Source organism: Homo sapiens, chromosome 1, assembly GCF_000001405.40.
Source record: "Homo sapiens chromosome 1, GRCh38.p14 Primary Assembly".
Classification (NCBI taxonomy): Eukaryota; Metazoa; Chordata; class Mammalia; order Primates; family Hominidae; genus Homo; species Homo sapiens.
In genome coordinates this window covers 25,710,588-25,733,414 of record NC_000001.11, presented here as the reverse complement: position 1 = coordinate 25,733,414, position 22,827 = coordinate 25,710,588, and the positions used below count along the sequence as shown (strand labels likewise).

General features: G+C 47.3%; 1 protein-coding gene across 6 annotated transcripts in view, besides 3 other annotated features; it reads right to left on the bottom strand.

Annotated features, from left to right (window-relative positions):
* MAN1C1 (mannosidase alpha class 1C member 1) overlaps window positions 1-22,827 on the bottom strand; it is a 167,660-nt gene that overhangs the window by 51,036 nt on the left and 93,797 nt on the right. The gene's annotated exons all lie outside the window — the stretch shown is intronic.
* Window positions 7,990-8,633: an enhancer, noted in NCBI's record as "NANOG hESC enhancer chr1:26051273-26051916 (GRCh37/hg19 assembly coordinates)". NCBI's record gives its function as "activates a minimal SCP1, AML or CMV promoter by ChIP-STARR-seq in naive H9 embryonic stem cells {active_cell/tissue: H9 hESC(naive)}" and the evidence as "EXISTENCE:reporter gene assay evidence [ECO:0000049][PMID:30033119]".
* Window positions 8,719-9,219: an enhancer, noted in NCBI's record as "H3K4me1 hESC enhancer chr1:26050687-26051187 (GRCh37/hg19 assembly coordinates)". NCBI's record gives its function as "activates a minimal SCP1, AML or CMV promoter by ChIP-STARR-seq in primed H9 embryonic stem cells {active_cell/tissue: H9 hESC(primed)}" and the evidence as "EXISTENCE:reporter gene assay evidence [ECO:0000049][PMID:30033119]".
* Window positions 9,851-10,051: a silencer, noted in NCBI's record as "peak132 fragment used in MPRA reporter construct". NCBI's record gives its function as "represses an SCP1 promoter by STARR-seq MPRAs in K562 erythroleukemia cells {active_cell/tissue: K562}" and the evidence as "EXISTENCE:reporter gene assay evidence [ECO:0000049][PMID:32103011]".

Here is a 22,827-nt window from a genome sequence, read left to right as displayed (position 1 = left end):
TGCAGCGGGAAAGGGGGAAAGTAGTGGGCAGTGAGGGGGTGGAGGCCAGATCACACATGGCCCTGGGGCTTCAAGAAAGGGGGTCTGGATGGCTTAGGAACTGGATCTGACTGGCTGCTGTATGATGAGTGGCTGGGCCCAACGGGACTCCAGAGCTACCCATCTTGGTTTGGTGAATTGTCCTCTAGGCACTTACGGATGAGGAGGACGGGGGCAGGAGCACCTGGGTCTGTGCTTTGAGACCCTGTGAAGGCAGCTGGAGATGCTCCCCAGCTGTGGGGGTAGCTGTTTACCAGTCCAGGAACAAGAATTCAACAAGACCACAGGGCATGTGAGCCAGGTGCCTCACCTCAGCTCCTGGGGGAGCCTCCAGCTGTCTTTGACAGTGCCAGAGCCTCCCAGGCCCACGGACACAGGGTTGCAGTGCTGTCTTGGGTATACATTGTGGCCACACAGAGCTATGCATTGATCATGGCAAACACGGCCTGTGGACCACAGCCAAGAGGTGCAGATGCATGGCTCTGATAACAAGATTAATGATGATTATTGGAAAGGAGAAAAGAAAGGAAATCAAAGAGGTCCCATTCACCCCTGTAAAACATTAAGAGATAGCAGAGGCAGTGCCAGGAGAGCCTGGTAGGGAGCTGAGCCCCAGGGAGGGTCTTTGTAGTTGCTGGGATAGCTTAGCTGCAGGCAGTGGGCCAGCAGAATGGGTTGAGTCCTGGAAACCCACGCTTGGATCCACCACTTACTAGCTGCCTCAGTTTCCTCATCCTCCACAGTGGGAGCAAGACCTCCACCTTGCAAACCATCCTGAGGGCTAGAGATCATGCAAAATGCCGGACGCCGCAGACGCAAACCTGCGTGAAGGCCGACACCATGTTGCTGAGCGCACCACAGACAGCACCTCTTTTAAGTCTCACAACACCTGAGGAGGAGGGTGCAATTCCTGCCCCTGTTTTACAGATGGGGAAACTGAGGCTTAGAGAATCATCTAAACCTCCCAGGGCTGATGAACAGGGAGCCAGGACTCAACTCTGGCCATCTTCCCTGGTTGCTCTGCCCTTCACTGCTGTGCCATTCCATTCCTGCACAACTTGGGAGACTGGGCCTGGTTTGGAGGGTCCAAGAAGGTCCCAGGGAAGTACTCTTGGCTTTGAGACCACAGGCTACCTCCTGAAGGCCTGTGGCTTAGCCTGACCCTATCTCCCACCTCTGGGCTGGAGCAAGGCCCCCCTGCAGCAGGCACTACCTTGCAGAGAGCTGCCGCCTCTCCCTAGGAGCCTGGGCACCCTCTGCAGGAGCCCCCCCAGATGCCCTCGAGGGATGGCTCTTCTTACCTACACCATTCTGGGCCCCACCACTGATCCCCTGGCCCAGGCTCACTCATAGGAGGGTCTGAGTTGGTCTTTTTCTCTGACAGATGGTAGCCCTGGAAGGAAGAGATCCTGCCAGATGCATCTTTGGAGCCACCAAAGAGCCTAGTGTGATGCCAGGTGCATGGTAGGTTTGGAGTAAATATATAGTAAATTAACCCTGACATAGAACAGAGCAGGAGCCGAGAGCACACATGACCACAGGCCAGACAGGTGGCCTTCTCTCCATCAGGCCATGACGAATCCATCTGGTTTACTCCCAGCATCAGTAAAGAGGAGACCAGCCCACACTCCTATAGACCAAGGGCCTCCCTTTTCTTTGGTCCACAGGCCCCTTCCAGAACCTCACAGAAGCCACTCAGGCTTCCCCTTGCCAGACTTACCTGTGTTAGAGAGGGAGGAAGGAGCCTGAGACAGATTCCTACAAAGGACAGAGTAGGGCAGAAACTTTGGAATCAGGTAGACTTAGAATAAAATCATAATTGTCCTATTACTAGCTGTGTGACTTCTGGTCAGCTACCTTATCTCATGAGCCTCAACATCCTCCTCTGTGAAATGCAGATAATGTAGACGACTGAAGCCACTGATGCTAGTGGATACACAATGAGGTTTGTTTTCCTTAAATGTAAATGGACTACAGAGGATACCTATGAGTTGCCTCTCATTTGATGATGATGATGATGATGATGATGATGATGATGACGATGATGATGATTATTGTTATTTTTTGAGTCAGGGTCTCACTCTGTTGTCCAAGCTGCAGTGCAGTGGCACGATCACAGCTCACTGCAGCCTTGACTTCCCTGGGCTCACGTGATCCTCCCACCTCAGCCTCCTGAGTAGCTGGACTACATGAGCATGCCACCACGCCTGGCTAATTTTTTTGTACAGACGGGGTTTCGCCATGTTGCCCAGGCTGGTCTCAAACTCCTGGGCTCAGGCGGTCTGTCCACCTCGACCTCCCAAAGTGCTGGGATTACAGGCATGAGCCACCAGGCCTGGCCTCATTTGATTTTTTTAAAGCAGCAGCGATTGTGGGGGAAGCACAGGCTTGTGGTCAAACCATGTGCCTTGGCTCTGTGGCTTACCAGCCTGTGACCACAGCCAAATGACTTAACCTCTCTGAGCCAGCAGCGAGTCTGCATCTGTCCAAGGTACTAGCAATAACCCTGTCGCAGATGTGGGTGGCCTGAATCAGGTGAAGGGTGCAGGACTCCATGAACAGAGTCTGGCAGGAGAGTGAAAAGGAGGAGGAAGTGCCCACACAGGGAGAACCCCCTCCCCGCTTGCCCTGTCCACCCACCCACAGCCAAGCCAGGCCTCATCCAGTCGTGACAGCCCTGAGCATGCTTCTGGGGCAAGAACTGCCTCTGTTTCAGACCTCAGTGCCCAAACAATTCACAAATGCAGCAAACGTGCCACGGCCCAGGAGACAGCTCTCCGCTTCAGAGAAAACACACAGTTCAATTTCCTAAAGATCGAAGCCCAGGAGCATTTCAAGGCTTTCCTGGCGAGAGCAGTTCTCAGAACTCAGGAGGCACCACCCTCATGTGACTGAACAATTAAAGCCCCTAGTATTTGTCATTCTCAGCTAAGGTTTTCGAGGATGGCTGAGAAAACTAAAAAAAAAAAAAAATCTGATTTTGGCAGTGTGGCTTTCAGAAATATATGGTAATCCATTTTTGTCAATTCACAGAAGGCACAGCTCAAATCATTAAAAAGCCATCGTGCTTAATCATGCGTGGAGAAGGCCAGTCTCTGCCTCTGAGATCATTTTAAAACGGTTTCAGGGTAACTGTCAAAAACTGACAGGGAAGCAGGGAGGGGATTATGACAGACCATAATCTGAGGAATTTCTCTTTCTGGTTCTCAAAGGGTAAGGGATTTATCTGAGAGGAAATCACCACCCAGACCTTGGCCTTGGTGCTGGTGGGGACAGTGGTGAGGAAGATTCTAGGATGCATCAGGCCTGACCTCTGTCCTTACGGAGGCTGCAGCTGCTTTCTCAGAAAGACAGTAAGCAATTTCCCAGCAAAACAGCAAGTAAATGAATGATTATGAAGCCTTGTGACAGGTGCTAAGAATAGGTGGAAGTTTATGCAGCTGTTAAGGCCTGGCTGTGAGCCACGGGGACCTGGGTTTGGAATTTGACTTTGCCACTCTGCAGCTGTGTGACCTCACACACACTCCTCACAGACCTGGGTTCCTCATCTAGAAAATGGGATGCCTGGCCAGGCACGGGGGCTCATGCCTGTAATCCCAACACTTTGGGAGACCGAGGTGGGCAGATCATGAGGTCAAGAGATGGAGACTATCCTGGCCAACATGGTGACACCCTGTCTCTATTAAAAATATAAAAATTAGCTGGGCGTGGTGGTGGGCGCCTGTAGTCCCAGCTACTCGGGAGGCTGAGGCAGGAGAATTGCTTGAACCCTGGAGGCAGAGGTTGCAGTGAGCCGAGATCATGCCATTGCACTCCAGCCTGGGTGACAGAACTAGATCACATCATTGCACTCCAGCCTGGGCAACAGAGCGAGACACCATCTCAAAAAAAAAAAAAAGAAGAAAAAGAAAATGGGACGCCTGCCTTGTAGGCTTGGGAGCTCAATGAGTTAATTCCTGGGAAGCTTTTATTGCAGTGCCTGGTACACAGTAAGCTCTCAATAAATGCTGGCCGAGTGGCTAACTCTGCTCAGGAAGCCTCATGGACCTGTGATGGATCGGGAAGGATGAGCAGGAACCCGCAGGGTGGAGAGCAACAGGGGGGACATTCCAGGCAGAGAGCACAGCATGTGCAAAGGCCCTGAGGTAGGAAGCTGGTCAGGGAGGAGCATAGGTTTCGGGGGAGGGAATAAGGGGAGCAATGTGGCCAGTCAGCTGGAGCCATCCTGGGAAAGACTTCAAATGCAGGCCAAGGGGTTTGGTCTCTATGTTGAGGGCCATGAGGAGCCACAGAGGGGTGTCTCAGGGCTGGGCCATGAGCAAACCATGTACATTAGAAGCTAACGAAGGGGCAAGAGGCTGCCGAGAAGGCTGGAACAGCATTTGGAGATCCAGAATCCTTCTGGGGTCAGAGCCACACAGCGAGTCTTCTTCCAGGTCTCAGACCACACTGGGCACTTGTTGACGCCTAGGTGACCAAACTCTCACTAGGGGTCCCCAGCCTTTATTTGAGGGTAATATCCTCTACTGTGCCAGCAACGATTCTGCACCAGTTCCCCTTCCTTAGACAGAGCCGTTGAAGGGAAATAGCCGCCCAGGCAGGCACTGCGTTTCCCAGCCTTTCTGCATCTAGGTGGAGCCGCAGGACCCAATGGGGTGTGGGCATAGGCTCCATACACCACTTTGAGGCCTGGCCCATAAAAACCATTCATGGATATTCCAAGGCCGAGGCAATCTTGGGTGTTACAACCTGAAGATGATGGCGCCTCCATCACCCTGAGTGCCTGAGTCATCAGAGGGAACAGAGCTCTCCCCACCATCAATATGACTTTACATGAGCAAGAAAGAAATGTCTGTTGTCTCCAAGCACTGAAGTCTCTGGGTTTATCTGTCACAGCAGCCAGCATTACCCTAAACAGACCCACCAGGCAGAATGACCTTGAGCACTTCACCTCCCTGAGCCTGTTTCTCTCAAACAGATTGTTGTGAGTGCCTAATACGATGACAAGTGTGAGTGCTTTGCAAGCAGCGAGGAACCACAGAGATCCGTCTGTCATGGGGTTACTGGCTTTGGTCCCTCTGAGAACCCGAGGTTGCAGAGGGGAGGGGACTCCGGCCAGTCCCTGCTGAGGCAGGGGAGTGCAGCAGCTAAGGCCCGGAGAAGCTCGCAGCAGGGGCTCAAGATCCACCAGCAGGTCCTGGCCTAGGCTGGGGACTCTCACTCCAGGCTTTAGTTCAGCCCTTTGAGAGATGCTCCTCAAATAGCTGAGCCGCCCAAAGGGAGGAGGCTGGGGCCTGGCTTCCATCTCCTGGAAGCTGCCCCGGGAAGCAGTCCTCCCAGCCTCTCTCTGATAACTTGTTCCAACCTCTCACAACTCATTAACAGGAAACTGCATTCCCTGCCAGGAAGACGCACGCCTGATTTTTCAGACATGGCAGGTAGACTGTGTTATCAAAGCCTTGTCATGTGTCTGCACGGCCCCCACGCTCTCCTGCTCTCTGGTGTCCTCGGCCAGGCTCTGTGCTCAGAGCATGCATTGCCTTTGGATGTGGCTGGGCAATCTGCCAGCTTGTCTGGCCAGGGCCAGGGGCCCAGGATGGATTCCCGTGAGGGTGGCTGAGGCTCAGCCTGTACCCCGCTCCTAAGCATCCCACACTCCCTGCCCAGAACTGGGGCTGAGACCCCACAGGGGGACAGGGTGGGGAAGGCCTGAGCAACACAGGATGTGAAGAGCTGTCTCTGGCCTCAGTGACTTTCACACAGAATACCATGGGCACTCCGTGTCCTTTTGCTGCAGGGTTCCTCTGCCATAGCTTTGGGATGGGGGTAGAGAATGCTCACCCCCAGCCTCTGGAGCCTGGAGTCGGGGGCAAGGCCATTTTGTCCTGCACGTATCCCCCACTGTCCCGTTCTCGGGCAGGGTGGGTGCAGACACCAACCTCCTCCACCTCCCATGCTGTCTCATTCCTTCACACAGTCGCTCACCGCCTCTCACTGGGGACCCGTGAGGAGTTCTCAAATCACCTGGCAGAGGAAATACCACCAGTGCCCTGGACTACGACAAGGACATGAAGTATCCATTTCCAAAGTCTATCCACAGGCAGGACTTAGTCTGTTTGTTCCTTATCCCCACCCTGAGCAGTGTTGTTAAACCCGGTTCACAGAGGAGGAATTTAAATGACTAGTGCCTAAGGTCATCCAGCTAGTCCACTGGGTAGTAATCTGAGCTGGGTCTAGCAGCCTCCATGATCATCATGGTTATGTGTCTAATACAGCCTTCATGCCAAAACCTAAACCAAGAATTTTACTTTTTTTTTTGGAAACAGGGTCTTGCTCTGTCAACCAAGCTGGAATGCAGTGGCGCACTTTCAGCTCACTGCAACCTCCACTTCCCAGGTTCAAGCCATCCTCACACCTCAACCTCCTGAATAGCTAGGAGTACAGACACATGCCACCGCAGTTGGCTTTTTTTTTTTTTTTTTAATAGAGATGAGGTCTCACTGTATTGCCCAGGTTGGTCTCACACTCCTGAACTTAAGTGATCCTCCCACCTTGGCCTCCCGCAGTGATGGGATTACAGACGTGAGCCATCATGCCTGGCTGAGAATTTTATACTCTTAATCTTCATAATTATACTGCAGTGTAGGTGGTTATATTATCTCCATTTCCAGATGACAAAACTGAGGCTCAGAAAGCTAAGAAGCTTGTCCAAAGCTGCACAGCAAATAAGCAGGAACCATGGCCCGAATGCCTACTGTACTTGTGCTCTCTCCCCACACCAGCGGCCTCACAGGTGAGATGGGGCCCACCTGGGGAAGGCAGATGATGAGGCTTCAAGATCCTACCAAGCAAAAAAGCAGGGTATAAAATGCACACATGCTGGTCACCACACCCCATTACGAAGTGTGTGTACATGGATGACATTGGATGGGATCTGGTAGTCAGTGGCTGTGTGTCTCAGAGGGAGGCAGGGCCTGGCAGCTTCTATTAGTGCCTGGTCACTCTTGGCTGAATTCTTCCTTGTAAGGATGGCTAAGGGTTAAGGTAAATAGGAACGAGTTGGGCAGAGGTTTGGTGGGTCTACCTTGCCGTGGCCCTGGAGACCGTGGTCGTGGTGGTCCTCCCTCCCTTTCCCTTTCCCCAGGTGCAGGAGCCACCTGGTCAGATAACCTCTCCACCTCACTGCATTCCAGACAAGCTCTGCCTTAGGCAGAGATCCAAGCAAACCAGAGACCACTGCTCTGAGCACTGACCTCTTTTGAAGAAGTGAAGACTTGCAGGAGAGGGGCTACAGTCGGAGCAGTGTTAAGAGAGTCCCCCATCATAGAGGCCAAGGCCAAGGAGCTGGTCTGCAATGGCCTGTAAATGGCCCTTTGTGATCCAGCCCATGCCCAGCTGGGCAGCTCACTCAGATGAAAGCCTCACCTTTCATTTCATGCCACAGCCACACTCAGCTCAGCATGCCGTACCGCTGAGCCTCAGCCCAGGATGGACCTTCTGCCCCGAGCACCCTCTCATTCTTCAGCTCTACCATGTGCATCTGTTGTTCTCAGGTGCCTTGAACCCAGCCCCCGGCTTTCAGATGGCGCAGTCTCCCTCAAATGCCACACGCCTTCGACTTCCATTAAAACAAACACTGGGAGAGAATCCTTAATAATGCCATCTAGAGGGCAAAGTGGGAGGCGAGGCAGGATCCCCAGGCACTGAAAAGTTGAGGTGGGATGGCCCAAGGACACTTTATTCTAGGAGGAGCTAGGATAACCCAAGAAGCCCTCAGCAGGCTTGCTCTAGTGGACCCCTAACAAGTACTCCTGTACTCTCACGCCACCATGCCCTTGCACGTGCTGTGCCCTTTACCTAGAATGCCCTCCTCACCTGGGAGACTCCAGCTTATTCTTCAAAGCCCAGCTCAACGTAACCTGCTCTGTGAAGTTCCCAGAGGCAGAATCAGTGGCTCCTTCCTCTGTATTCCCGTAGCACTTTGACCACATAATTACGTGTGAATCCCTCCTCTAAGAAGAGAACTCTTTCGAGGCAAGGGACGTGGCCAGTGCACCTTTGCATCTCTAGCATCCATCCCAGAGCTGGCCTAGAAAAGCCTCTGAATGAATGAATTAATGAGCTTCCTTTTGCTAAGATCCCAAGATACCTATTTTCCCACCTCCTGCTGGGCCTTCCCTCTCCAGTCACAAGAGGAGCAAACTGAGCCTTTTGTCTTCACACCACATTGGTATTGACCAGAGCTGGGTTTTAATGGTGCTTTGACAAAAGGCAGCTCCCACATTCATTTTCCTTGGCTAATTACATTTCCCAATTGAAATGCTTATCTCTGGGTTGGTGTTATAGACATAATCAGTTTCCAGAATGGATTCAAAAGAGGTGAGAGCAAGAAAATAATTAAGCCAACTTCTGATTGAATCAAATAATTAAGCAAATTTCATCGGTTGCCTGTGATCTACAGCTCCAGCCTGGGCCTGGAGAGTGTACTACTCTATCAGAGAGATCATGTCTGATTGTTTTAGAGATGGGCAGCATTTCTTCCAGTAGCAAGTAAAGGATTAGCTCTTTTAACTGAATGCAAATCAGGGTGGCAGAACCCCAGGTTCCTTGTTTAGGCAAAATATTCTGTGTTTGCAGGAAAATAATCGAGGCTGGGGTGTGCTCTGTTCCGGAGCCATGCCTAGACACTCATGGTAGAGTTTGCACCAATGGTCCCAATTCCTTACCCCTTCCTGCATTCATGTCCTTTGCACTGAGTAGGATGCCTCTCCCCACTCTCTTCCTCTGGGCTCAGACACGTGTGGCTAACTTCAGCCAATGAGAGCAAATGTGACACACGCAGAGGCTTGAAAAAGCACTTGCATGTTTCTGCTTGCTTTCTTGTCCTTTTGCCACCTCCATGGGAATACATATGAACTAGAGCTGAGATGCAGAGATGCGTGGAACAGAGCTCAGTTGGCCCAGTTGTCCAAGCCAAGGATCTCTTAGATCATCCGACAGTCAGCTGCCCCCAGGCACAAGGGTGAGCCCAGTCAAGATCTGCAGTCATAGGCTAGGCGTGATGGCTCATGCCTGTAATCCCAGGACTTTGGGAGGCCAGGTGGGCGGATCACAAGATCAGGAGATCGAGAACATCTTGGCCAACAAGGTGAAACCCCATCTCTATTAAAAATACAAAAATTAGCCGGGCGTGGTGGCGTGCACCTGTAGTCTCAGCTACTCTGGAGGCTGAGGCAGGAGAATCGCTTGAACCCGGGAGGCGGAGGTTGCAGCGAGCCGAGATTGTGCCACTGCACTCCAGCCTGGGCAACAAGAGCAAAACTCTGTTTCAAAAAAAAAAAAAAAAAAAGGTAGGCAGTCGTTTGGCCTGCCCAGCCTGGATCAGGTGAACTCTGAAGACTCCTGAGTTACCTAAACACTTATTGCTGCATGCCAGTGAGGTCTGTGGTTGTTTGTAACTGATACAGTATCCCGCAGCCCAGGCTGGCCTTTTCTCCAGTCCCAGCCTCTAGAGGGTACCCCTCAATCCTTTAGTCCAAGCACCACTTAGAACAGACAGTCATACATCCCGCTGTTTGAATGGTAAATCTTTATGCAAAAACCCATCTAATCTTCACAAAGTCTCCTGGGCAGACATCAGGAAAGGGATCTTTTGTCCCACTCTACAGATGATGATGTTGAGGCTCAGGGAACCCAACAGAAGAGCCAGAGATCGTGGTTAAAGATTGTGAGTTCAATGAATGCACTAGCCCTATTTCCACCCAGAAACTCCACTAAGACAACGGTATAATTTTTTAAATAATGCATCAATCCACAAAGATAGAACAACCAGGGAAGAAGATGATAGTAACAAAGTTTGGCAGCTGGGAAAGAGATGTGGAGTGCTGACTCAGCAAAGCCAAGAAAGCCGAACCCTAAGCCATGATGATGCAAGCAAACAGGCACTCAGGTTTGTGCTAGAAAACCCCAAAGGCTCTGGGATTGGTGGCAACACCAGGTATCTCTGGAAGTGAAATAAGAGGAGGGCTTGTTGCAAGTCAGCCTAAAGGCAGTAAGATCCCTAGATTCTCTTCCTACTTCTGCCAAGAAAATGTTTCCTCTCATCCCAGCAGAAAACCAGAGGCAGAGTCTCAGAAAGGAGTACGACAGAGGGCCTCTTGATGCCTGGCTGAGGCACAGGGTGCCATCCTGGGAGCAGAGGCGGTAAGTGAAGATTTTTGGATTGCCCACCTTTGCCCTCTTGCCCACATGGATCTCAGAAGGTCCATTAATTTCCCGGCACAGTGAATGAAAAGAGACCTACACTGAGGTATATTGTCATGAAATACTACACTGAGGTATATATGTCATGAAACATTGAGGACAAAGAGTACGCCCTACAAGCTTCCACAGAAAAGACAGGTCACAATCAGAAGGCTGTGATCAGGAGTCCATTTGCTAGGTAGGAGAATGAAAACATTTTCTATGCAGAACCAGACTAGCTCTAGAGAACAAACACCTATATTGAGTTCCCATTGGATTATCCTACTGGGATTATCAGTCAGCAGAGCCCACTCACCACACAGATCCACAACCATCTTCTCTTCTGCCCCACATTTAACTTGAAGACACAGCCAAGGAGCCACAAACATTTAAGGGAAACCTAACACGAGAGATGGACAAATACACAAACAGGAAAGGTAACTGGAAGGACACAGAGACTCTGCAGGAAGAAGAAAACTTCAAAAACAAAATATCATCAGAGACTAAAGAAAATGGTGCGTCTGTGAGACAAGAACAGAATGCTCAACAAAAGAACATTCACAAAATAAAATGGAGCTCTTGGAAATAAATACACAGTCTGACAGCAGAAATGCAAACTCAATAAAAGAGTTGGAAGACAAACTTGAGGAAATTTTGTAGAGTAGAACCAAAAATGAAGAGACAGATAGAAAACAGAAGATAAATTGGAGGACCAGCTCAGGGATCTAACTAAAAAATGTAGGAATTCCAGAAACAGAAAAATCGGTGGAAGGAAATAATCAAAGAAATCATTCAAGGTGTCCCAGAACTGAAGGCATGGATTTCTAGACTGAGAAGGTCCATTAATTTCCCAGCACAATGAATGAAAAGAGACCTACACTGAGGTATATCGTCATGAAATTTCAGAACATTGAGGACAAAGAGTACGCCCTATAAGCTTCCAGGGAAAAGACAGTTCACATACAAATGACGAGATATCAAAATGGCATCAGGTTTCTCATCCGGAATGTCGGAAGCTAGAAGCAATGGATCAGTTTCAAAATTCAGAGGGAAAATGACTTCCATCTTATAATTCTTTATTCAGCCTAATTATCGATTAAGCGTGAGAGTAGAATAGAGTTTCAGTTTTCAAAAATCTCAAATATTTTACCCCTCCCCTATGCACACTTTTCCAGGAAGCTACTGGATGGTGCTGACCAAGAAAGAGACAAAGGAACCAGCAAATAGGGGATGGAAAATGAGAGAGATTCACAGCTCACATCACACTTATGGGGAAAGGCCAAAAGCTTTCCCCCAGGATCAGGAATAAACAAGGATATCCACTTCTATTTAACCTTGTAATGGAGGTTCTAAACAGAGCAACTGGGCAAGAGAGAGAAATAAAAGGCATCCATATTAGAAAGAAGGAAGTAAAACGATCTGTTTGCAGATGACACATCTTGTAAATGAAAAATCCTACGGAATCTACTAAAACACCATTACAACTGATGAATGAGTTCAGCAAGGTTGTAGGATACATCAATTGTAATTTTATATACTAGCAATGAACATTCCAAAATGGAAATTAAGAAGACAATTCCATTTACAAAGCATCAAAAAGGAATAAAATACTTAGGTATAAATTTAACAAAATAATTGCAAAATTTGTATACTCTAAACTATAAAATATTGTTGAGGGAAATTAAAGAAGATCTAAATAAATGGAAAGACATTTCATATTCATGAACCGGAAAACTTAGTATTATTAAAATGGCAATATTCCTCAAATTGATCTATAAATTCAGTGTAATCCCTATCAAAATCCCAACTGGCTTTTTCGCAGAAGTTGACAAGCTGATCCCAAAATTAATATGGAAACTGAGATTACACCTGTAATCGCAGCACTCTGGGGGGCTAAGAATGAAGGATTGCTTGAAGCTAGGAGTTTGAGACAAGCCTGGGCAGCACAGCAAGAACCTTGTAAAAAAAATTCATATGGAAATAAATATAAGGGACCCAGAATAGGCCAAACAACCTTGAAAAAGAACAAAGATGGAGTACTCACATTTCGTGTTTTAAAAACTACAAAGCTACAATAATCAAGACAGTGTGATACTGGCATAAAAATAGACATAGATCAATGAAATCGAGAGTCCAGAAATAATACCTGATACTATGCTCAACTAAGTTTTGACAAGGATGCTAAGACAACTCAATCGGAAAAGAACAGTCTTTTCAAAAAATTGTGCTGGAACAATTGGATATCCACATGCAAAAGAATGAAGCTGGAGTCCTACCTCACACCACAACCCCAAATAAACTCGAAATGAGTCATGGCCTAAAAGTAATAGCTAAAACTATAACACTTCTAGAAGAAAACACAGGAATTATGTTCATGACCTTGGGTAAGGCAATGGATTCTTAGACGTCAAAAGTACAAGTAACAAAAGAAAAAAATCGATACACTGGACTACATCAAACTAAAAACTTTGGTGCTGAAAACTATTCCATCAAGAAAGAGAAAAGATAACCCACAGAATGGAAGAGAATACTTGCAAATCATATGTCCCATAGAGAACTGGTATCCAGAACAAACGGAGAACTTCTACAGCTCAACAATAAACTACCCAATTAAAATATGGGCAGCTGGGTGTGGTGGTTCACACCTGTAATCTCAGCACTTTGGGAGGCCGAGGTGGGTGGATCACCAGAGGTCCGAAGTTCAAGACCAGCCTGGCCAACGTGGCAAAACCCCATCTCTACTAAAAATACAAAAATTAGCCGGGCATGGCGGTGCGTGCCTGTAATCCTGGCTACTTGGAGGCTGAGGCAGGAGAATCACTTGAACTCGGGAGGTGGAGGTTGCAGTGAGCCGAGATTGCACCACTGCACTCCAGCCTGGGCAACAGAGTGAGACTTTGTCTTGAAAAAAATTAAGAAAAAAAAAAAGGATTTGAATATATATTTGAATATACATTTCTCTAAAGACAACACACAAAGGATGAAAAAGCACATGAAAAGATGTTTAACATCATTAGACATTAGGGAAATGCAAATCAAAACCACTACGAGGCCAGGCACTGTGGCTCGTGCCAGTAATCCCAGCACTCTGGGAGGCTGAGGCAGGTGGATCACTTGAGGTCTGGAGTTTGAGATCAGCCTGGCCAACATGGCAAAACTCTGTCTCTACTAAAAACACAAAAATTAGCCAGGTATGGTGGTGGGTGCCTGTAATACCAGCTACTCAGGAGGCTGGGGCAGGAGAATCGCTTGAACCTGGGAGGCGGAGGTTGCACTAAGCCAGGATTGCGCCACTCTATTCCAGCCTAGGTGACAGAGTGAAACTGTCTCAAACAAACAAACAAACAAACAAAATAACAATGAGATATCACTTTCCACCCACTAGAATGGCAATAATAAAAATGTAGGTCAGGTGTAGTGACTGACACCTATAATCCCAGCACTTTGGGAGGCCAAGGCAGGAGGATCACTTGAGGCAAGGAGTTCAAGACCAGCCTGGGTAACATTGTGAAACCCTGTCTCTATAAAAAACTTAAAAATAACTAACCGGGAAAGGTGGCATGTGCCTGTAGTTCCAGCTACTCAGGAGGCTGAGGTGGGAGGATTGCTTGAAACCAGGAGTTCGAGGCTGCAGTGAGCTAAAATGATGCTACTGCACTCCAGCCTGAGCACAGAGAGACCCTATCTCAATAAATAAATAAATAAATAAATAAATAAATAAATAAATAAATAAATAAAAGATAAAAAATAATAAGTATTGGGGCTGGGCACAGTGGCTCATGCCTGTAATCCCAGCACTTTGGGAGGCTGAGGCGGGCGGATCACCTGAGTTCAGGAGTTTGAGACCAGCCTGGCCAACATGGCGAAGCCCCCTCTCTACTAAAAACACAAAAATAAGCCGGGCATGGGGGCGTGCACCTGTAGTCCCAGCTACTCGGGAGGCTGAGGCAAGAGAATAACTTGAACCCAGGAGGTGGAGGTTGCAGACAGCCAAGATCGCGCCACTGCAGTCCAGCCTGGGCGACAAGAGCAAAACTCCGTCTCAATAATAATAATAATAATAATAATAATAATAATAATAAGCATTGGAAAGATATAGAGAAAATGGAAACCTCATATATTACTGATAGGAATGTAAAATGGTGCAGCCTCTTTAGAAAACAATTTGGCAGTTCTTCAGAAAATTCAATGTAGAGGTCCCAAGAGAAATAAAAACATATGTTCATAGAAAAGTCTGTACACAATGTTCATAGCAGCATTATTCATAGTAGCCAAAAAGTGGAAACAACCCAAATGTCCATCAACTGATAAATGAATAAATAAGATGTGGTAGATTTATAATGAATTATTCATCAATGTAAAGAAATGAAATACTGATGCATGCTACAATGTGGATGAACCTTAAAAAACTTATGCTCAGTGAAAGAAGTCAGATACAAAAGACCACAGGTTTTTGCTTCCATTTTTATGAAACATCCAAAAAAGGCAAATATATAGAGACTGAGGGAGGATTACTGGCTGCCTGGGGATGGCAGTGGAAATGGGAAGCGACTGTGATGGGCACAAAGTTTCTTTTTAGGTGATGGAAACATTCTGATGATGTTTATACAATGCTGTAAATATACTGAAACCTACTGAATAGTACATTACAATTGGCAACCTTTTATGGCAATGTAAATTATGTGTCAACAAAATTATTTAAAAACAAAATGAATAAGAGAGAGGTAAAAATATCCCAGGGACAGCAGCTGTGCAGCAGGCAGAGAGTCAACTGTCCAGAACAAGACAGGTCAGAAGCCTCCAGGAGAGACGTCTTCAAGAGGATGAAGCTGACGTACCACCTAATGCGCTGGGACACACTGTGAGGAGGTTTACACAGGTAGTGGGGACCATGGAGTTAAGAAGTGATAAACATGTGACAAACTAAGCATCAAACAAACACGACGATTATTAACTCTACAGAAAACAAACAGTTACTTAGGAAAGGGAAGGAAATCATACTATATGAGAATCAGCCATGAAGAGTGTGTACACAGCCATAGGAAGTTACACCCCGAACAACCAATATTTTGATGTAACTATAATGGAAAGAATGGGGGAATGGCTATGTGTGTGTGTGTGTGTGTGTGTGTGTAAATAAAGCTATAGTGTGATATCAACACACATCTACTAGAACAGCCTTAAAAAGAAAAAGACTGATTTTACCAAGTGTTGGTGAGGAAATGGAACAACTAGAACTCTCACACACTGCTGGTAAGAACGGAAAATGGGGCCGAGCATGGTGGCTCATGCCTGTAATCCCAGCACTTTGGGAGGCCAAGGTGGGCAGATCACCTGAGGTTGGGAGTTCAAGACTAGCCTGACCAACATGGAGAAACCCCATCTCTACTAAAAATACAAAACTAGCCAGGGTGGTGGCACATGCCTGTAATCCCAGCTACTCAGGAGGAGAATCGCTTGAACCCGGGAGGCGGAGGCTGCAGTGAGCCGAGATTGCGCCACTGCACTCCAGCCTGGGCAACAAGAGAGAAACTCCATCTCAAAAAAAAAAAAAAAAAGGAAAATGGTACATCTGCTTTGAAAAAGACAATTTGGCAAATTCTCTGTTTTTGAAACAGGGTCTCACTCTGTTGCCTAGGTTGGACCGCAGTAGTATGATCACAGATCACAGCAGCCTTGACCTCCCTGGGCTCAGGTAATCCTCCTGCCTCAGCTTACTGAGTAGCTGGGGCTACAGGCATGCACCACCATGCCCAGCTATATATATATAATTTTTTCTTTTTTTTGTAAAGACAGGGTTTCGCCATGTTGACCAAGCTGCTCTTGAACTGCTGGGCTCAAGTGATCCACCCACCTCAGCCTCCCAAAGTGCTGGGATTACAGGTGTGAGCCACTGTGCCCAACCAGCAAATTCTTACAAAGTTAATAAATTTAACATATGACCCAACAATTCCACTTTTGGGTATATACCTAAGAAAAATGAACACATACATCCACATGAAAACTGCTTGTGAATGTTCAAAGCGGCATTATTTTTAATAGCCTCAAACTGGAAACAAATCAATTGCCAAATGGAAAAAATAAACCATAGCATATCCATATGACGGAATACTACTCGACAATACACAGGAGCAACTATGGACAGACAAAACACCATGGAGGAACCCCAAAAACCTGATGAGTGAAGGAACCAGACACAAGAATACACACTGTGTGATTCTAAGGAACTCTAGAAGGCTCAGGCTAATTTAGAGTGACAGCAGATTGGTGATTGCCTAGGCCAGAAGCTGAGGAAGGATGAATGGCAAAGGGGCCTGAGGAAACTTTTAGATATAAAAATGTTCAGTACCTTGATTTTAGTGGTGTTGAAATACATTTTATTGCATTAAATTAAACTTTAATACAGTGGATTTAAAAATTTAGAAAGGGTAAAGCTATTGATTCCAATTGGGATTAAAACCCAGGAGGCTCCATAAAGGAAGGCAGTCTGTAAGCCTGGTCTTTAAAACTGAATTTGAGGGCCGGGCACAGTGGCTTATGCCTGTTTGGGAGGCCAAGGTGGGCGGATTGCTCAAGCTTAGGAATTCGAGAACAGCTTGGGCAACACGGCAGAATCCTGTGTCTACTAAAAACACAAAAACAATTAGCCAGGTTGTGCCTGTGGTCCCAGCTGCTCAGAAGGCTGAGGTGGGAGGATGGCTTAAGCCTGGGAGGTGGAGGTTGCAGTGAGCCGAGATCATGCCACTGTACTCCAACCTGGGTGACAGAGTGAGACCCTGTCTCAAAAAGAACAAAACTAAATTTGAGAGACACACAGAAGAAAGAGCAGGGACCTGTCAGGCAGATCTGAGTATGGCCAAGTCTGCTAGTTGCCCCTAATATCCATTCTCCTTCAATTTCCATAGAAACAGAAGCAACAATTTTAGCTGAGCACATGGCCATGGGAATAAAAACTACATTTCCCAGCCTCCCTTCCAGCTACGTGTAGGCATATGACTGAGTTCTGGCCAATGGGATTCAGTTGAAGTGCTGCATGTGACTTCTGGAAAAATATGTTTAAAGGGAAGTGACATTCTCTACTCTTCCTCTTTTTCCCTTCCTGCTGGCTGGAATGTGGACACGATGACTGGAGCCACAGCAGCAATTTTGGACCGTAAGGTGGAAGCCAGTACTGAGGGTAAACAGTGGAACCTAAGTCCCTGACGATGGTGGGGTCGCTACTCCAGTCCTAGACTAACTACCTGGACCTGTAAATGAAAAAGAAATAAACTATTTGGTTAAGGCTTGCTATTTTGGGTTTCCTGAGTTCCAACAGAATCCAATCCTACCAGATAAAATGAACAGTAGCAGAGAAAGATGTGAAGTGCTAGCATCCTTAGTGCCTCAGGCTCTCCTGAAACCACCATCGTTCTTCTGCTCTATACTGCTCAAGGGAGAGGCCCTGGCTTTCCTCATCTTTCTGTTTCCAGGGCTTGGCACATAGTAGGTGCTCAGTAAAGACATCTAGTCAGCTGAAAGACCATGGCATGGTTCAAGCCCTGGCACAAGACCAGCTAGATGCTCTCTGAGGGCAGAGCCTGGACCTTTCTGTTCACCACAGTAACTTTCACACCTAGGTCCACAAAGTCTGTTGTGAGTGCTTAGGTATTCGTTGAGAGAAGGAGTGAAAGGCTGATGTGGCAGAAATCTAGGGTTTCACAGCCCAGCATCCACCTATACTTTCTCTAGTTGACGGGTCCCTGAATCACCTTCTACACCTCCCCTCCTTCCCAACTCCTAGTCCATGTTCTGCTTGAGGTAGAACTGCCTTGACCCCAGCAATGGGAATGATCATGTGACCTAGGCCTTGGTCAGTCCAGCCCTTTCATCCCTCTGGACATGAGGATGAGTTAGGGATAGGCAGAGCCATGGGCCCAATTAAAGCTCACCAGCACTAATTTTGGGCTTAAACTGAAACAGAGTGGCACTAGCTCTTCTGCACCAGACACAGGTTGGGCAGGCTAAAGTTGTTGTACCAGCTTGTTCACATCAAGGAAGAACAACCTGAGAATGAAGACAGTGAAAACAGGCCACAGGGAAGAGAAATAAACAGAGTGTCCGTCTTCATTTGAGACGTGGATCAAGCTGTGCCTGAAGTCTAATCCTAGTGACTTTCAATCAAGTGATCTAGTAAATTGAACTTAAATGGGCTTGAGTTTTTTTGCATCTTGCAAACTGGAGAGTGCAGACTAACATAGTTGACCTTGAGGGTCAATGTCACCCTTAAAATATGTCATCTTAGGTGTAGTGCTAGCACTTAATACAGGTGGGAGCCAGGGTACCACCAGCTTGTGGCATTAACTCCACTTCCTTTAGAGTGTAGCTGACTCTGAGAGCTCGAACAAAGCTTCATTGATTCTACCTGGTATGTGACATTGTAAACCAATCTCACATTATCAGCATTGCAAAAATTCCCCTATAAAAACACAGGAGTCTAAAATGTTAATCTGAGAATTAGTGGACATTTATCTTCTTTTGGATCGGTATAATTTCCTCCCATTTTTTTTTATCTGCTTTCTGAGCCACCTCATTTATCTAAGCTTTCAAAAGCTCATGCAGAACACATAATGCACTTCAGCTACAAAAATCAATGCTTGAGGATGCATTTTTACCAGGGTTGGTAAAGAAATTCTTCTACTGCTTCTCAGAGGCCTTACTGCAAACATTTTTATTCATGAATAAGAGCCAGAATAGTTTTACTTATAAACAAAGCTTTTCCCTAATTATCAAATCAAGGAGTCAATGTCACTTAGAAATATATTCTTTTTTATTTTTGAAGGGATAAAAGTGTGTATTAGTTTGTGCTTCAAACCCCTCTCCTCCCCTAACCATCCAAGACAACTGACTGACTTTAATTAAAGACCATTTACCCTGGGAATGGATTGCTTGCTGCAATTTGTACCGAAGAGACACATTTGCAGACAAATGAATCGCAGTCCTCAGATTTCGCCCATATGACAAAAGAAGTGATTATGTTCCCTCATCACTTCCTCACTCTGAAGAACTCTATTAAGAGAATAATTTGAACTGACTCTCTGCTACGCTGCATTTTAAAGTGTGATCTATTTCAAAGCCACCAACATTTTTTTCCCCTTTTAAAAATGAGTGGTATTTAAGGAAAAATGCCAGCTGGTGTGTCTATTTGAGGAGGGGCTACAGGAAACACGAAGGTTGATTTAACTCCCTCGGAAGCTCCAGTCACTTGCAAGTGCATGAGGAACCTGGAGCCTTGGTTCCCGGCAGCAAAGAGCAGACACTGGGCCCAGCGAAGTCCAAACTCTGGTGCTGTGTTAAACTGAGCCCAAGGAATGCCTTCTCCATGGCCCTCTGATCACCTGTGCAGGCTGCATTATAACGATTTATGTGTCTGTGTACCCTAGTCTGAACAGAGGCCGGAGATGAGGCACATCCATGGGCCTCTTTTCAGACCTCATATGAATCAGGAAGGCTTAGGGCCCAACAGTCCTATATAAACTCCATGTCTCGGGTTAGACAGCAGCATCCAAACACCTCTAGCAAAATAGTTCCAGCCTCCAGAGAGCTGCTTTCAAGAGCCTGTGCCTAGATTGTGCACTGTCGTGTCCTGCTTATCTGTTTCACCCACTAGACTGGACCCTAATAAACTCTTTCTAGAAAGTAGGTCTCTGCCTGCTGCTGTGGAGACTCAAAACCTGCGTATGAATTTTGCTTTGCCATTTGGTATGCTTATGCTGGGCAAATCACTCAGCTTACCTGGGTCTGTTTCCTCATCTATAAAGTGGGTATGGCACCATCTCACCTGACTGTGATGAGGGTGCAATGTGGTAACACAAAAGCACCCAACACATCCCTCCATCTCCTTGTTCCCCACCCCCACCTCATTATGAGAGGACATGACATATAGTAGAAAGAGCACTGGACTGAGAGGCAGGCAGGAGGCCTGTGTGACCCCAGGCAAGTTATTTACCTCATCTGTAATGACCTCAGTTTCCCCATCTGTAATGGGAAAATGGGAAGACTAGTTCCTAACTCTGGCCAGCCTCAAAGGGGTAAGGTTAGAAGGATTATGCAAGAAGATTCATATCAAAGTATTTCTAAAATATAAAATATTGGACAACTGCATAGATGATCCTAGTATCTGAGGCAGTGGGGAGTTTAATCCCAAGTCAATATCAAAAGGCCACTGGCTTGGAAAGTATCTGAGAAAGTCCCTGGTAAATTTCATTCCATTCCAGCTGGGGTCTTGGCACTTGCATTTTCCTGAGCCCAGCCCCAGGGACCGTGGGAATCCACAGATCTGCAGGGATGAGACACAGCCGATGCCCACCGCCATGCAGGAGCCTAAGACCTACTAGGCTGAAAGTCACCCCAGGGCACTAAGCCAGGGAGGGTTGAAGCGGGTGGAAGATCATCAGGGAGAGAGTAGGTTTTCCTATTCGAGAAGTGAAAGGCGGTTTGAATGGCTGTCCTCCATGCCTTGGATTGTAGGTGGCATTTACTGCTCAAGGAGAAGGGACTCAAGACAGGTAAGCAGTTTCACAAAGACCTCTAAACATGCTAGAACCATCAGGATAGCTCACCTTTCTGCCACCTTTACAAACCCTCCCAACAGGCCAAGGCCCCTTCTCCCAGGAAGCCGCCCCAGATTACCAGCATGAGCCTATGTGCTCACTCACTTCTTCTGCTAGGCTGGGGCTGCTGTGGAAAGCTCCATAAGTGGCCCATCTCCTCTCCAGACCCTCCCTGAGAGCAGCCCACCCAGGGGCTTCCCCAGGGGCTTTACAGCAAGTGAAATCAACAAGGTGCCTAACGGGCACGTTAGTATGTGCAAACCACCCAAAAATGTCTTCTATAACTGGAGGTTAGACGTGGGGAGCCAGACAAAAGAGCTCCCCTGCCAAGACGCCGGCCGAGCATAGCAGAACGCTGGTTTGATCCAGTACTGTTACTTTCCACAAGATTCATTCATTACTTCTGCAGACATTTATTTAGCACCTACTATATGCCAACATTGAGGGCCTGGAGCTGCTGTTGTTATGACTGCAAAATAAGTAGGTGGCCCTGCTGGACTTTCCTAAACTCACCCAGCTTAGCTGGTCTTGTCGCCTCCTCTGTGGTCTGCATCAGGATGAGCAGGGCCTGGGCAGAGGGATGGCGCTCCCTGACACACTCACTGTGAGTCCATTTAAACAAACATTCCTGAAAGCTGTTTACACATCTCTTCTTAAAGACCAAATTTTTAAATTTCCCAATTCTGTCTCATGATCTGAATGAAAGGAATCTTTTAGTAAAATAAAGAAAGTATCCTCTTTCACACACAGGACAGCACGGCTTGCAAAGACTGATCACTTCCTCCCACCAAGACAAGCAGTGGCCTGGGCTGCGCACCCACGGAGGAGGGGAGGAAGTGGGGCCCGGGGCAGGCTTGCAGCACGCAGGGGAGGGGCGGGGCCGCAGGGAGGAGGGGCGGGGCCGCAGGGAGCAGGGCCTGGCACACAGTGGTGCTCAATACATGCAGAATGAGTGCTTCAATAAAAATATGTCCTTTAGTTCTGTCCTTTTGATCAAACGGAGCTGAGCTCAGCACCAACAGGGACCAGGTATCTGGTCCATTTATCTCAAACCCAGGAAAGGCATGTCCAGCTTTGGCCTGAGGAGATGAGAATTCAACTTCTTTCTCCCACACTGACCCATCCATGAGCGATTTGACTTTAGAGATGTCTGAGTGGGAAGGAGTCTGGTGTGATAGAAGGCAAAAATGTTCCTGGTGTCCTACTTCTCCCTGTAGCCCTGACTTTGGCCATGAGACTTAGCGGTTGTTCCCATCAAGAGATGGAGTCTCTCTCTTCACTCCTTGTGTCCAGGCTGGCCAATTAACTTACTCTGACCAACAGGATGCAGAGGAAGTGACTGTGTGCCAGTTCTGAGCCTAGGTCTTAAGAGACTGTGTGCTTCTGTCTGTTCTTTTGGACCCTATCTCTGCCATGAGAGAAGTCCAGGTCCACATGGAACAGAGCTGAGTCATCTAACCAAAGCCATCCTAGACCAATCCTGGCCTAGCTAAGACCCACAGACTCAAGAAATAATAAATGGTCTTTGTTTAAGCCATTAAGTTTCAGGGTGGTTTGTTACACAGCAACCGTTAGTTGATACAATGAGTTCAGCCTTCCAAACAAGTGAGGACCCCGAGGCCTAGAGAGGGGAGAGACCTTCCCTAAGACCACAGCTGCCAACGCAAGAGTCCAAGTAAGAAACCACTCACCCAGGGTCCCATCAACTATACTCAACCTTGACCTTTCTTTAAGAATTCATTGTTTTCATCTTTACTAAGTCATCAGCCTTCAGGTTCTGAACAAAGGGCAGCAGCAGGTACTTGAAGGTCACTGAGCAGCCACGACAAGGGAAAGTCTATCTCGCTATTTCCTATCCTGCTACCTCTGAGGTTCTAGAATCATGCTTCCAGAAAGCCACTGGGTCCCCGCAATTTACAACCAAGTGTTTCCATGAAAATCAAACCATAGTAGCCTT